Below are 16,470 nucleotides of genomic sequence, written 5' to 3'. Positions count from 1 at the left end.
TGAATAACTTACAGCTAAAGAAGATATCTTGACAAAGATCTGGGGGTCAGAGTGGCTAACATGCTGAAAGTCACTCATTTAGCCCATATCCTTAAGCACCAACTAAGTAGAATGCTGAGCGAATGCTGCAGATCACAATCTACCTCTGAGGAATCTACCTCCGAGCTGCACAAACAGGGGCCTAGACCACGAGAACGGCTCCCTGCTATGAGTGGATGCTAGGGCTGCAGAATTGATTTTACAGAATGTTAAGAAGTTACCTGCTTGTAAATAAACCCTTAGAAATGAAGCTTCTCCCAAGCAGAGAACAAGACTGACCCTTGCCAAACTCAAATGCATGGCCAGCTATATTGACTGGGAGCCAGGGACACCAGCCTTCCCTGGACCCCTCACAGCTGGCTGCTTACCCAGCTCTGGTGGCACACTTAGCGTCCCGAGGAGGCAGGTCACAAGGACAGGGGGTCTGGGAGACCCTGAGCCCCAAGAGGCAATCCCCTGTGTTCTCAGAACCAGGTACCTCCAGCGGACACAGCCTTCCAGGACCCCAGCTCCCGGCAGGAGCCATGCAGTCCTTCTGCGTGCCCGGTGCCCTTCCCCCCACCTCCACCCAGCCCCGAGAACATCTGACCTGGACTCCACAGCCTGGAAACCTGCGGCCACCTGCTGAGGGCCCCCCCACCCACTGCTTGGGTCCACTGACCAGTCCCCTTCCACATGTAGGCCTCATGCCAGCCCTCAGTGTTTCCCCGTGGATTTCAAGACGAAGCCTCAAGCCTTCATTACTGGGGTTCACAGGGCTCCATCTTCCCCTGCATCCTCCCTCCCACTGCCTGGGCTTTGGTCTCCCTGCCCTTCACTCACTCTCTGTCCCCAGGGCTTCTGTACATGCTGTTCCCCCATCCCGACACCATTCCACATCTGAGCTGCTTCTCCTTTAGATTCCGGCTTGACTGCCTGTCTTCTCCAGAGGAGTCTCTCCTAATTGCCCATCCCCCAGTCAGGATGCCACCCCTGTATCAACCACGACCTCCCCGCTCCCCTGTGCTGCCTGCAATAAAGCCATCAGTGCCGTGACTTGTTCAAAGTTGTCCACTCTAACAGGACTCCAGGATCACAGAGGCAGGGATCCCCTCCTGGAATCCAGTGCCTCACTCAGTGCATAGCAGGGTCTTAATCAACAATTGTTAGATGGGTGGATGGACAAACAGATGGATGAATGAAGGGGCACAGGGAGGGTCTGGTGGCTTCTATGGAGAGTTCCCAAAATGTCTCAAATATCTTTGCTAAAATGCAAGGACTTAAGGCACATTCTTAGGAGGTATCCAGCTGGAGTCAGAGATGCCTCCTTGTCCCTTGGGGAGCCAGCGAGCTCCTAGCCCCCGGGACAACTCAACATCTCCATGGAGGCCACTGTGGTGGTCGCTGGTGCCGGGTCCACAGGCGTTCACTGTGTTCTCCACCGTGGCGCTTCTTCCCCTGGGGCCCTCACGGTCAGTGCAGAGCACCAAAGAGTTGCCGCTGTGTAGAGAATTCTTATAATTGTGCATTGCATCCATTTTGAATCTAATTTGGACCCTCTCCTACCAGAAGCAGGGTTTATTGCTCTTGACACGGTGTCTAGGGCTCCACCCCCTCCCAGTTCCTCAATGCGGCCAACCCAGATATCTGCCTTGTACACCCACCTCCTGGTGACCATTTCCCTGTGGGACAGGCAGATACAGCCCATTTGATGGTCTCAGTGACTCCACACCCCACAGGGACTTCCCAGACATGCCGCCATGCCCACCTCTCAGCCACAGGGACCCCACGGAGCCCGTGTCTGTTTGCTCTAAACCCACCAGTGAGAAGTCCCCTTGGGAAACCTGCTTGGGAAACGTCCTGGACCCCAATAAAGGCTTAGGACCCAGGTCTCTCTCTCTCCCTTCACCCCCCTCCAGGTGAGTGTTTGTGACCCAGACAGCTCCCCACTTTTTGCTGGCCCCGTGGGGTGCACTGCCCTCTCCCTGGGATCTGTAAGTGACACGGTGCTTGTGTTGCTTCCTGTGTCTTCTTGTGCTGCCTCCTGCATCTCCCCTGACCCACACCCCAACCCAACTCTCCTCCCATCAGGGATCTCTTAGGAAGTGGCTGTCTTGATAGGAATAAACTGGACATGGGTCAGACGAGAGCCACAAGGGTGTCTGTCCATAGAAACAAGTTTTATGTGAGAGAGACCCCTGGTCACTGGGCAGGGCTAGAATTTATAGTCAGTCTCTCAAAGTGAGAGATACAGCCTGCTACCAATGACAGGGGACTTGGAGAGCAGTGGAGCCTCTCCCTCAGCTGAGATGGTGCTGAGGTGTGGTCCCCTCAGGCCCCCAGAGTTTCCTGGCACTGGCTCCAGCAGCCCAGGGTCACCTTCTCAGCAAGTCATCATGGGTTGGCTTCCTCCTTGTCTGTTTCACTTCCCCTCCCACATAAACTAGTCTCCCCAAATCCTGTCTCAGGGTCCCCTCCTGGGGGATCCCAACCAATGAGCAAAGGTCTGTGGCTGCAGGAAAAGCACACTGTGAGTCCCTGGCTTTTGCCGAGTCGCGGTGTCGCGGGAGGGCCTGCCCGGGCTTCGATTCCCGCTCCCTGCCCAGATTTCCGGCCCTTGCTAGGAATCCTGAGCCGGGGGAAGTGAGCCTGCAAGCCCTGCGCCACGAGGCCGGACACATTTTCATTTTCTTTCTGATGCTTTTTGTGACCCTGACACCTCACAATGCAATATTTCCACTATGAAACCCCCAGAACTGCCAAATTTCACCCAATTTGGATTAACATTATCGAGGAGCTTGGCATTATGTTGAAAACCCAGACATTCCCACGACCCGTATCCTATTTAAAAAATGCCTGTCTATTTAAGGTTCACGATGGGAGGATAAAAGAAAAAAGGCTCCCAAAGTCAACAGAGAACATGAGCTAGGCAAAAGGAAAGTCCAGTTTGCTTCTAAAAAAGGCTGAAAATTATAACCATCCATGGCCTTGTGTCTTAAGTCTCAGAATTTTTTTTTTCTCTTTTGGTGGTTTGCAAACCAAAGTGGAATTTTATTATGGGTTACTAAGGGAGCTTCCTCGAGTTCCTAGCCCCCAAAGCCCCTGCTCACTCCATGGCATGCCTCCGAGGCTCCTCATGCCATGAGAAAGAGAATGGAGCCAAAATCAAGCCGGCAGTATCTCGGGGCTGTAACGTCTTCCCCCCGTCGCTGTTTCCACAGTGCTGAGCCAGGGACCCGGCAGAGCTGCCTGACTCCTTTTATGAACAACAGCACCGTGATGAAGGCAGCAGGAGTCAGAGAACTATTCATTGCAGGAAGCCCCAACATCCGGTGAGAAATAAGAAGTACAACAGTACAGGATGCGCCTTGGGTCAGGGGGACGTGGAAAGCCCTCAGCCTTTGTGTCCTTCTCTGCGCCGGAGTGGCTGCAGCTCACCCCTCAGCTCCCCTTGGGGCCCAGCTGGGAGCCGAGATAGAAGCTCCTGTCGCCGCTGGGCTTCTCGCCTCCCGCAGAGGGCCACACAGAGACCGGGATGGCCACCTCCATGGGCCTGCTGCTGCTGCTGCTGCTGCTCCTGACCCAGCCCGGGGCGGGGACGGGAGCTGACACGGAGGCGGTGGTCTGCGTGGGGACCGCCTGCTACACGGCCCACTCGGGCAAGCTGAGCGCTGCCGAGGCCCAGAACCACTGCAACCAGAACGGGGGCAACCTGGCCACTGTGAAGAGCAAGGAGGAGGCCCAGCACGTCCAGCGAGTACTGGCCCAGCTCCTGAGGCGGGAGGCAGCCCTGACGGCGAGGATGAGCAAGTTCTGGATTGGGCTCCAGCGAGAGAAGGGCAAGTGCCTGGACCCTAGTCTGCCGCTGAAGGGCTTCAGCTGGGTGGGCGGGGGGGAGGACACGCCTTACTCTAACTGGCACAAGGAGCTCCGGAACTCGTGCATCTCCAAGCGCTGTGTGTCTCTGCTGCTGGACCTGTCCCAGCCGCTCCTTCCCAGCCGCCTCCCCAAGTGGTCTGAGGGCCCCTGTGGGAGCCCAGGCTCCCCCGGAAGTAACATTGAGGGCTTCGTGTGCAAGTTCAGCTTCAAAGGCATGTGCCGGCCTCTGGCCCTGGGGGGCCCAGGTCAGGTGACCTACACCACCCCCTTCCAGACCACCAGTTCCTCCTTGGAGGCTGTGCCCTTTGCCTCTGCGGCCAATGTAGCCTGTGGGGAAGGTGACAAGGACGAGACTCAGAGTCATTATTTCCTGTGCAAGGAGAAGGCCCCCGATGTGTTCGACTGGGGCAGCTCGGGCCCCCTCTGTGTCAGCCCCAAGTATGGCTGCAACTTCAACAATGGGGGCTGCCACCAGGACTGCTTTGAAGGGGGGGATGGCTCCTTCCTCTGCGGCTGCCGACCAGGATTCCGGCTGCTGGATGACCTGGTGACCTGTGCCTCTCGAAACCCTTGCAGCTCCAGCCCATGTCGTGGGGGGGCCACGTGCGTCCTGGGACCCCATGGGAAAAACTACACGTGCCGCTGCCCCCAAGGGTACCAGCTGGACTCGAGTCAGCTGGACTGTGTGGACGTGGATGAATGCCAGGACTCCCCCTGTGCCCAGGAGTGTGTCAACACCCCTGGGGGCTTCCGCTGCGAATGCTGGGTTGGCTATGAGCCGGGCGGTCCTGGAGAGGGGGCCTGTCAGGATGTGGATGAGTGTGCTCTGGGTCGCTCGCCTTGCGCCCAGGGCTGCACCAACACAGATGGCTCATTTCACTGCTCCTGTGAGGAGGGCTACGTCCTGGCCGGGGAGGACGGGACTCAGTGCCAGGACGTGGATGAGTGTGTGGGCCCGGGGGGCCCCCTCTGCGACAGCTTGTGCTTCAACACACAAGGGTCCTTCCACTGTGGCTGCCTGCCAGGCTGGGTGCTGGCCCCAAATGGGGTCTCTTGCACCATGGGGCCTGTGTCTCTGGGACCACCATCTGGGCCCCCCGATGAGGAGGACAAAGGAGAGAAAGAAGGGAGCACCGTGCCCCGTGCTGCAACAGCCAGTCCCACAAGGGGCCCCGAGGGCACCCCCAAGGCTACACCCACCACAAGTAGACCTTCGCTGTCATCTGACGCCCCCATCACATCTGCCCCACTCAAGATGCTGGCCCCCAGTGGGTCCCCAGGCGTCTGGAGGGAGCCCAGCATCCATCACGCCACAGCTGCCTCTGGCCCCCAGGAGCCTGCAGGTGGGGACTCCTCCGTGGCCACACAAAACAACGATGGCACTGACGGGCAAAAGCTGCTTTTATTCTACATCCTAGGCACCGTGGTGGCCATCCTACTCCTGCTGGCCCTGGCTCTGGGGCTACTGGTCTATCGCAAGCGGAGAGCGAAGAGGGAGGAGAAGAAGGAGAAGAAGCCCCAGAATGCGGCAGACAGTTACTCCTGGGTTCCAGAGCGAGCTGAGAGCAGGGCCATGGAGAACCAGTACAGGTAAAGGGGGCCCTGAGTGACCGGGGGAGGGGATGGGCAGGCATGGGGGCACTGACTACAGTACAAAGAGGTGGCAGCAAGAGCAGGCCCAGGTTTCCTGTGGGCAGACACACCCTGGTCCTTGCAGCTGACCCCTCAACCTCCCCCCACGCCAGGCACTCGGGCCCCCTTAGAGCATACTGCCCATCTGCAGCACGGCCGCACGTGGGGCTCTCTCCCAAGGTGGGGACGTGCAGGCACAGAGGCGCCATGGCTTCCAACGCTGTCTGTTTTGTTTCCCATAGTCCGACACCTGGGACAGACTGCTGAAAGTGAGGTGGCCCTAGAGACACTAGAGTCACCAGCCACCATCCTCAGAGCTTTGAACTCCCCATTCCAAAGGGGCACCCACATTTTTTTGAAAGACTGGACTGGAATCTTAGCAAACAATTGTAAGTCTCCTCCTTAAAGGCCCCTTGGAACATGCAGGTATTTTCTACGGGTGTTTGATGTTCCTGAAGTGGAAGCTGTGTGTTGGCGTGCCACGGTGGGGATTTCGTGACTCTATAATGATTGTTACTCCCCCTCCCTTTTCAAATTCCAATGTGACCAATTCCGGATCAGGGTGTGAGGAGGCCGGGGCTAAGGGGCTCCCCTGAATATCTTCTCTGCTCACTTCCACCATCTAAGAGGAAAAGGTGAGTTGCTCATGCTGATTAGGATTGAAATGATTTGTTTCTCTTCCTAGGATGAAAACTAAATCAATTAATTATTCAATTAGGTAAGAAGATCTGGTTTTTTGGTCAAAGGGAACATGTTCGGACTGGAAACATTTCTTTACATTTGCATTCCTCCATTTCGCCAGCACAAGTCTTGCTAAATGTGATACTGTTGACATCCTCCAGAATGGCCAGAAGTGCAATTAACCTCTTAGGTGGCAAGGAGGCAGGAAGTGCCTCTTTAGTTCTTACATTTCTAATAGCCTTGGGTTTATTTGCAAAGGAAGCTTGAAAAATATGAGAAAAGTTGCTTGAAGTGCATTACAGGTGTTTGTGAAGTCACATAATCTACGGGGCTAGGGCGAGAGAGGCCAGGGATTTGTTCACAGATACTTGAATTAATTCATCCAAATGTACTGAGGTTACCACACACTTGACTACGGATGTGATCAACACTAACAAGGAAACAAATTCAAGGACAACCTGTCTTTGAGCCAGGGCAGGCCTCAGACACCCTGCCTGTGGCCCCGCCTCCACTTCATCCTGCCCGGAATGCCAGTGCTCCGAGCTCAGACAGAGGAAGCCCTGCAGAAAGTTCCATCAGGCTGTTTCCTAAAGGATGTGTGAACGGGAGATGATGCACTGTGTTTTGAAAGTTGTCATTTTAAAGCATTTTAGCACAGTTCATAGTCCACAGTTGATGCAGCATCCTGAGATTTTAAATCCTGAAGTGTGGGTGGCGCACACACCAAGTAGGGAGCTAGTCAGGCAGTTTGCTTAAGGAACTTTTGTTCTCTGTCTCTTTTCCTTAAAATTGGGGGTAAGGAGGGAAGGAAGAGGGAAAGAGATGACTAACTAAAATCATTTTTACAGCAAAAACTGCTCAAAGCCATTTAAATTATATCCTCATTTTAAAAGTTACATTTGCAAATATTTCTCCCTATGATAATGTAGTCGATAGTGTGCACTCTTTCTCTCTCTCTCTCTCTCTCACACACACACACACACACACACACACACACACAGAGACACGGCACCATTCTGCCTGGGGCACTGGAACACATTCCTGGGGGTCACCGATGGTCAGAGTCACTAGAAGTTACCTGAGTATCTCTGGGAGGCCTCATGTCTCCTGTGGGCTTTTTACCACCACTGTGCAGGAGAACAGACAGAGGAAATGTGTCTCCCTCCAAGGCCCCAAAGCCTCAGAGAAAGGGTGTTTCTGGTTTTGCCTTAGCAATGCATCGGTCTCTGAGGTGACACTCTGGAGTGGTTGAAGGGCCACAAGGTGCAGGGTTAATACTCTTGCCAGTTTTGAAATATAGATGCTATGGTTCAGATTGTTTTTAATAGAAAACTAAAGGGGCAGGGGAAGTGAAAGGAAAGATGGAGGTTTTGTGCGGCTCGATGGGGCATTTGGAACTTCTTTTTAAAGTCATCTCATGGTCTCCAGTTTTCAGTTGGAACTCTGGTGTTTAACACTTAAGGGAGACAAAGGCTGTGTCCATTTGGCAAAACTTCCTTGGCCACGAGACTCTAGGTGATGTGTGAAGCTGGGCAGTCTGTGGTGTGGAGAGCAGCCATCTGTCTGGCCATTCAGAGGATTCTAAAGACATGGCTGGATGCGCTGCTGACCAACATCAGCACTTAAATAAATGCAAATGCAACATTTCTCCCTCTGGGCCTTGAAAATCCTTGCCCTTATCATTTGGGGTGAAGGAGACATTTCTGTCCTTGGCTTCCCACAGCCCCAACGCAGTCTGTGTATGATTCCTGGGATCCAACGAGCCCTCCTATTTTCACAGTGTTCTGATTGCTCTCACAGCCCAGGCCCATCGTCTGTTCTCTGAATGCAGCCCTGTTCTCAACAACAGGGAGGTCATGGAACCCCTCTGTGGAACCCACAAGGGGAGAAATGGGTGATAAAGAATCCAGTTCCTCAAAACCTTCCCTGGCAGGCTGGGTCCCTCTCCTGCTGGGTGGTGCTTTCTCTTGCACACCACTCCCACCACGGGGGGAGAGCCAGCAACCCAACCAGACAGCTCAGGTTGTGCATCTGATGGAAACCACTGGGCTCAAACACGTGCTTTATTCTCCTGTTTATTTTTGCTGTTACTTTGAAGCATGGAAATTCTTGTTTGGGGGATCTTGGGGCTACAGTAGTGGGTAAACAAATGCCCACCGGCCAAGAGGCCATTAACAAATCGTCCTTGTCCTGAGGGGCCCCAGCTTGCTCGGGCGTGGCACAGTGGGGAATCCAAGGGTCACAGTATGGGGAGAGGTGCACCCTGCCACCTGCTAACTTCTCGCTAGACACAGTGTTTCTGCCCAGGTGACCTGTTCAGCAGCAGAACAAGCCAGGGCCATGGGGACGGGGGAAGTTTTCACTTGGAGATGGACACCAAGACAATGAAGATTTGTTGTCCAAATAGGTCAATAATTCTGGGAGACTCTTGGAAAAAACTGAATATATTCAGGACCAACTCTCTCCCTCCCCTCATCCCACATCTCAAAGCAGACAATGTAAAGAGAGAACATCTCACACACCCAGCTCGCCATGCCTACTCATTCCTGAATTTCAGGTGCCATCACTGCTCTTTCTTTCTTCTTTGTCATTTGAGAAAGGATGCAGGAGGACAATTCCCACAGATAATCTGAGGAATGCAGAAAAACCAGGGCAGGACAGTTATCGACAATGCATTAGAACTTGGTGAGCATCCTCTGTAGAGGGACTCCACCCCTGCTCAACAGCTTGGCTTCCAGGCAAGACCAACCACATCTGGTCTCTGCCTTCGGTGGCCCACACACCTAAGCGTCATCGTCATTGCCATAGCATCATGATGCAACACATCTACGTGTAGCACTACGACGTTATGTTTGGGTAATGTGGGGATGAACTGCATGAGGCTCTGATTAAGGATGTGGGGAAGTGGGCTGCGGTCACTGTCGGCCTTGCAAGGCCACCTGGAGGCCTGTCTGTTAGCCAGTGGTGGAGGAGCAAGGCTTCAGGAAGGGCCAGCCACATGCCATCTTCCCTGCGATCAGGCAAAAAAGTGGAATTAAAAAGTCAAACCTTTATATGCATGTGTTATGTCCATTTTGCAGGATGAACTGAGTTTAAAAGAATTTTTTTTTCTCTTCAAGTTGCTTTGTCTTTTCCATCCTCATCACAAGCCCTTGTTTGAGTGTCTTATCCCTGAGCAATCTTTCGATGGATGGAGATGATCATTAGGTACTTTTGTTTCAACCTTTATTCCTGTAAATATTTCTGTGAAAACTAGGAGAACAGAGATGAGATTTGACAAAAAAAAATTGAATTAAAAATAACACAGTCTTTTTAAAACTAACATAGGAAAGCCTTTCCTATTATTTCTCTTCTTAGCTTCTCCATTGTCTAAATCAGGAAAACAGGAAAACACAGCTTTCTAGCAGCTGCAAAATGGTTTAATGCCCCCTACATATTTCCATCACCTTGAACAATAGCTTTAGCTTGGGAATCTGAGATATGATCCCAGAAAACATCTGTCTCTACTTCGGCTGCAAAACCCATGGTTTAAATCTATATGGTTTGTGCATTTTCTCAACTAAAAATAGAGATGATAATCCGAATTCTCCATATATTCACTAATCAAAGACACTATTTTCATACTAGATTCCTGAGACAAATACTCACTGAAGGGCTTGTTTAAAAATAAATTGTGTTTTGGTCTGTTCTTGTAGATAATGCCCTTCTATTTTAGGTAGAAGCTCTGGAATCCCTTTATTGTGCTGTTGCTCTTATCTGCAAGGTGGCAAGCAGTTCTTTTCAGCAGATTTTGCCCACTATTCCTCTGAGCTGAAGTTCTTTGCATAGATTTGGCTTAAGCTTGAATTAGATCCCTGCAAAGGCTTGCTCTGTGATGTCAGATGTAATTGTAAATGTCAGTAATCACTTCATGAATGCTAAATGAGAATGTAAGTATTTTTAAATGTGTGTATTTCAAATTTGTTTGACTAATTCTGGAATTACAAGATTTCTATGCAGGATTTACCTTCATCCTGTGCATGTTTCCCAAACTGTGAGGAGGGAAGGCTCAGAGATCGAGCTTCTCCTCTGAGTTCTAACAAAATGGTGCTTTGAGGGTCAGCCTTTAGGAAGGTGCAGCTTTGTTGTCCTTTGAGCTTTCTGTTATGTGCCTATCCTAATAAACTCTTAAACACATTGATTGTGAACTTGTTTTAATATATTTCACGACAACTCGAAATACCTGGCAGAACTTGCTTTCAAGGTCATTACATTTATCCATCTCCCCTTTCAAAGAGTTGCTAAAAAGAAGGTACCTTGTGGCTGAGTTTCTGCACCTGCACCTGCTGGAGGCGACAGGGGGCGCTGGGCTCTGCCTTCCTTCATTACCTCAGCAAATGTGTACCCTGCCCCTCAGCGTGCTGCCCTTGGGGACATGGAATACAGAGGGCTGGGCTGCACTGCGCCCAGTGTCCATGGCAGCTGAGTCCACTCATCCATGGCCCCCTCATCACTCTTTAATTCTCTGCATCTTGTAAATTACATGGGTGATGCCTGGCGCAGAATTAAACATGTCCAATGGATGCGATGTGAAAACACTGTTCTATAATTATCATTGGAGCATTTATCACTACTTTGTCAGCAAAGCCCTTTCAGTTTATTTAACTAATTGGACAGGCAGATCAGATCGCTGGTTGTTTGGCTGCACAAATCTCATGGTGATTCCAAGTCAGGAACAGCAGATGGTGGTCAATTCTGAGTCAGCCTGCTTTTAAGATTGTGCAAAAGGCTGTGGCAAAGGCACAGGACTTAAGAAGAACAAAGGGTTCTGCTCTGTTATGCTAATGGTACAGGACACTTGCAATAAATATCCATTATTTAGGGTTAAATGCAGCTGATCCTGTTAGAAGTCTATTCATTAACAACATACACTTGGAAATTATTCCTCGATATGAACAACCATGGCTGTTCCCCCAACACACACACCCACACACATAAACACACACATGCATGACACAGAGATATGCATCCACAAACACACACAACACACACCCACAAGACACACACCCACAAGCACACACAGTTCTAACATCCTTCTGTGTCGTACTGGAACACCTGAGGCCAGTGTTTCTCAATTTAGGAAAAGCCTATGAAAGAAAACACCAACTTGTGATGGTTACATTTTTTGGTGACTTTTGCTATCTCACTAAAATTTCTTAAATGCTAGGTAAATCATTCGCAAACAAATAATTTGCCAAGAAAAATTAATTTGCACACATATCTATTGCACAATGCAGAGTACATTTGTGTTGCTATCATCAGACAAAATGCAGATTACAATGAGAGACTCAGACATGTACTATGTACCTTCTGTGGGATTGAACATGCATTGAGTGAGCCTATCAAGTTCTCAGCTGACTCTTGTGTATATTCAGCAAGAGGAGATACAGAGAGCAGAGATGATAAACTTGAAAACCAGAGAAGTCGGAGTCAGCCTTTCCCTGAATTATATTTGACATTACAGGTGCTTAGAAACAGAATGACTAATGGGTTTACCCTTCAGATCCTCTGAATGCCTCCTAACTCTCCCTTTTCAGAGGAAATTATGAACAGCTCAACAGTGAAAAAGTGAAGAAAGAGGCAGAGAGAGTAAAAGGTATAGATCAAGTGCAATCATTTTTCCGGAACTGTGATTGACTTAAGGGTGCTCAGCATGCAGCTCAGGCACAGGCCCTCTCCTGAGTCCCCAGGAGAACCACCACCAAACTCTCCATGAGCGGTTGTCCCTCTCTGAGTTCTGGTAGTTGGGTTCTATTTGAGGTTTGTCGTGATTAACTTGGATGATGATGTTCTCTTGTGGTTAAAATTGGTTCATAGAATTCAACTGAGTGGAAGAAAGGATGGAAGGGAGGAAAAGAGGAAGGGAGGAAGGGAGGGAGAGGGAGGAAGGGAGGGAGAGGGAGGAGGGAGGGAGAGGGAGGGAGGGAGGGAGGAAAGAAGGGAATGAATGGGAAGGAATGAATGGTAGGGAGGGAATGAATAAATGGGAAAGAGAAGGAAGGAGAGATGAGGGAGAGAAGAGAGAGAGAGAACACAAAAGGGGGTAGAGGAATGTCCCAGGTGTGGTGGTCACAATCAGGTCTCACAAAGCTGGGCTTGGAGCCTGAGAAGGAAGGGCTGAGTTTCTCAGGGCGTGCCGGTGCGAATTTCAGGCCACTTCGTTCTGCTGGCCTTGGTGAGGCCCAGCACCCTCCTGTCACCTTCCTGCAAAGCCTGCTTGCCTCTGCCACTGGCCTTACGCCTGTCCACATAGTTCATATTGTAAGGTCTGAAGCCAAGCCTGTGACCTGTCTCTGTGGGGCTCCTACTGTGTTCAAGTATCATGAAATAATGAAATTTGTGAGGTGGAAGAAAATAATTGGGACGTCTACCTTCTTTCTCCAGGGTCTGGCTTTCCCAAAAACGTTATATCACAAATGTTTTACTTCATTGTTGAAATCGCTGCCTCCTGTCCCACGTGTGTTTGTCGGGGTGTCACGCCCTTGTCTGCTTTCCTTCTCATCCGTCCTGCAAGTCCTCATGCCCTGGCCTCCATCCAGGCCCTCATCCCCCATGGCTGTGGCTTCGTCAGCTTCTCCTCGGATTTCCACCAGTTTTGTCTTCTATTTACAGCCGCGTGGTGAAGGGACTAATATGTGTTTGGCAGATTTCATCCTTCACCAATAAAAAATATACCTTTTTGAACCTTTTCACTTCAAATTATATTATATATGACTTTACAACTGATATACCCGATTCATTCTGCTGCATCTGATGAATATCTGGTATTTTTTCCCTAAATTCAGCCTTCTGGTGACACTTCATGTTTGTCTCTTGTAAACAACAAAGCTGGATTTCACTTTTTTTTTCTTTTATTCAATCAAAAGTCTTTGTCTTTTAATGGGAGAATTCAATCTATTCACATTCATTAAGGTTACTAATAAATTTGTACTGACTTATTTTATATGTTCCATTTATAATGATTCATTGGGATTTCTAGCCTCTCTCTCGTCAATTATTAGATTGATTAAGTTTTCTTTGATCTACTTTTTCCCTTAATATTTTGGAATTGATATAGACTATTTGTATTCTTCAAATAGTCTTACTTTTTCACCTCACATACTAAAGCCTATATCTTCTATTAATGTCTTGTGTTAATTAATAGCTATCTCCTCCCTCTATTCCCCAAAATACCCAGCAATCTGTTATTTCTATTTCCTGTCCTCTCAGGTTACCCAGATTCCCACACCACTGCCCACCTGGATTGCATCTGAATTTTATTTTTTTATTGTTATACATTTTTACAACCAAAACCTACTTGGATGCCATGAGTTTTTGTTGATTTTTTCTCATCTTCACCTCTGATTCCCAGTACTGTTGGATTCAGTTATCACGGGAGTGTTTTGTTTTGAGTTGTGTCTTTTTCTGAGAAGGTCATGCTTGCATGACCAGAAATGCCTTTCCCTTCCGCAAGTTGAATGATGCCTCACCTAGACATAGATTTCTAGGCTCTAAACTGTTGTCCTGTAGAACTCTGGAGATATCCAGCCTTTGCTTTCTTGCATACGTTGTTACTGATGAGAAGGCTGATGTCAAATAATGTGTTTTCTTTCATGGACCATTTCTTTCTTTTTTCCTTTTTTTTTTTTTTTTTTTTTGAGATAGAGTCTCGCTCTGTCACCCAGGCTGGAGTGCAGTGGTGTGATCTCGGCTCACTGCAACCTCCGTCTCCCGGGTTGAAGCGATTCTCCTGCCTCAGCCCTCCTGAGTAGCTGGGATTACAGGCACACGCCACCATGCCCGACTAATTTTTTTTTGTATTTTTAGTAGAGACGGGGTTTCACCACATTGGTCAGGCTGGTCTCGAACTCCTGACCTCATGATCCACCCACCTCGGCCTCCCAAAGTGCTGGGATTCGCCCGGCCTTCTTTTTCTTTTCCATTTTTCCCCGAGTGCTTTGGCAATTTTCTTATTCTCTGTTGAGTTCTGAGGTTTCGCTTCAGGTTGCAGGTGTGGTTCCTTTCTGGTCCCGCCTGCACTAGGTGAGCTCTTCCCAGCACAGGAGGGCATTTCCTTCTAGCTGTATTTGAACCTGAGCATGTGTCTGAATCCTCTGGAACCTCCTGCAGGGCTCCTTAAAACGGAACCCCTCCCTCAGAGCTTCTGACTTGGCCGATCTGGGGTGGAGCCCAAGACTGCATTTCTGCTGATGCTGCTGGTCCAGGAACCGCCCTTGGAGAACCGCTGCTTCATTTGGTCTTGAGTGATCTTCTCTTATTCTTGTTAGTATACCTTCTTGTTCATTGTCTTGACTCTCTTATTTTGGAAACAATTTTAGATGGTTCTTTCCTTCCTCACTTTGTACCTATCTTCTCCCAGTGGGCTATAAGGCTGGGCCTTCTCTCCAGCACTCCCAGCGATCCTTGCTCTGCTCTACTGTTTTTCCAAAACACCAATCACCTTCCACCCTGGTTTATGATTTCTGTTTGTACACTATGATTGATTATTTAGTATCTGTATTTATTTACTAGAATGTAAGAGCCAACAGGGGCACTTTTTTGTCTTTTGGTTTCTGATATACCCTAGGCCTCTAGACCAGGGCCTGGCATACTGTGGTGCTCAGTAAACACATGTGGAATGCATGACTGAGCTGGGGGTTGGAGCAGTGTACCAGGTAGGGTGGGCTAGCACACCCTCCTGGTGGGCCTGTGTGAGCCTCGATGCTGTCCAGGGCCTCTTCCTCCACCATCTGCCACCTGTCCCCTGTCTCCAGCTCATGGCACGGCCTGCACTCAAGTCTTCACTATTGCTGCTCTGAATTGTGGCCGCCATATCCAGCTGGTCTGGGGCTCTTTGCACTCCAGCTCCCAGAAACAGAGCCTGAGAGAAGGACTCACCATCCTGTGGTTCACTGGGAAGCACAGGGAACAGTGGTAATGGCATCAAGTGGTGACATCACTGTAGAAATCCTGGGAAATGGTGCAAAACATGCCAGGGTCATCACATCTGAAAGCCAAGGGAGTGGTGTGTAGATACCCATTGGTAATGAGTAGAGGGCTGCCCTGGGTGGAGGTGGCGGGTAATTCCCAGCACTTCCAGATGACCACACATGTGGGCAAAGTGGCCTTCCACACTTAGGATGGGGAAACCTTCAGGTACAGATGCAGGCCCTGGCAGGTGTACTTCACCTGAGCACAGTGAAAAGTGCAAGCACGATTTGTTGAGCACTGGCAGCCTCCAGCACACAGCTGTCCTCTAAACTCAGTGCAGACAGTCCTCCCTGCCTCTAGAGGTCATGCCTCCATTTCCCCAGGAGGAGCTGTATCCATGGGGATGGATTTCTCTCTCAGGAGTTTTCTGCTGGCTTTTATCACTTTATTCCTTGCATGATAGGTCAGTGGCTACATGACTTGTGTCTTCCTGAGAGACTGTAAGGCACTCAAGAGCAACGGGTACATCTGTATTGTGCCTTGCTCACAGTCAAGCCTCAAAAGATTTTTTAAATACAAGACCCCGGATATGTTATTTTATACCACATATGTTATTAAAGCAATGAAGAGGAAAAAAATCACTGACCTTTTACTATGTACCAAATGGGAAAATAGTATTTGCTATTGAGAAATAGGTAGTATTAATATCTCCATTTTATAGTTAAGGAAATTGAGGCAGAGAGAAGATGAGTGGTGAATTAGATGAATGAAATCTTACACTCTCACTCTTAATCACTAGGCTTCCCTGCCTCCCATTAGACATGAATAGGAACTGCAATTGAAAAAGTGTCAACCAGCAAAGAGTGGGGAGATGAGTGGGCCTCTCAGCCAGTTTCAGATAGGAAAAGCAGAGTGTTAAGCAATATGGGTATTTTTAATAATATGTTCAAACAAACTTACTTGGGCTTGTGTATGTACCCCCCAAACACACACACACACACACACACACACACACGCACACACACACTGGGGTAGAACTACTCAAAAGCCCTCTGATCAGAAAGATTGTGCATCCTGAGACCTGCCTTGCCTGCTCTGAGGGCAGATCCCAGGGAACGCACCCTCACAGTCCCCCCACGTGGCTATCCCCAGTCTGCCTTGGTGAGAGCAATGTGTTTGAATGCAGTAGGAGAGGAAGGGAAGTGGGAATGTGCAAATCGCCCCATGGTCCCGACCTGCTCAGAGGCTACTTCCCAACTGGAACTCTTGCACACGGTAATAGAAATGTAAACGGTATAACTTCTTTAAAAA

The 16,470-nt window shown here is 49.6% G+C and overlaps 1 protein-coding gene across 1 annotated transcript, besides 2 other annotated features; it reads left to right on the top strand.

Moving 5' to 3' along the window:
- Positions 1,592 to 1,731: an enhancer, noted in NCBI's record as "active region_17628". NCBI's record gives its function as "activates an Ori minimal core promoter by ATAC-STARR-seq in GM12878 lymphoblastoid cells {active_cell/tissue: GM12878}" and the evidence as "EXISTENCE:reporter gene assay evidence [ECO:0000049][PMID:35858748]".
- Positions 3,259 to 3,438: an enhancer, noted in NCBI's record as "active region_17627". NCBI's record gives its function as "activates an Ori minimal core promoter by ATAC-STARR-seq in GM12878 lymphoblastoid cells {active_cell/tissue: GM12878}" and the evidence as "EXISTENCE:reporter gene assay evidence [ECO:0000049][PMID:35858748]".
- Positions 3,422 to 10,386, top strand: CD93 (CD93 molecule). The gene is made up of 2 exons (NM_012072.4): positions 3,422 to 5,487; positions 5,772 to 10,386. The coding sequence occupies exons 1-2, from the start codon at positions 3,554 to 3,556 to the stop codon at positions 5,794 to 5,796; spliced, it is 1,959 nt and encodes a 652-aa protein (NP_036204.2). The 5' UTR covers positions 3,422 to 3,553; the 3' UTR covers positions 5,797 to 10,386.
- The last annotated feature ends 6,084 nt before the right edge of the window (positions 10,387 to 16,470 follow it).

Source organism: Homo sapiens, chromosome 20 (genome assembly GCF_000001405.40).
Source record: "Homo sapiens chromosome 20, GRCh38.p14 Primary Assembly".
NCBI lineage: Eukaryota > Metazoa > Chordata > Mammalia > Primates > Hominidae > Homo > Homo sapiens.
The sequence above is the reverse complement of the archived record's forward strand: the minus strand, read 5'-3'. Positions and strand labels throughout refer to the sequence as shown.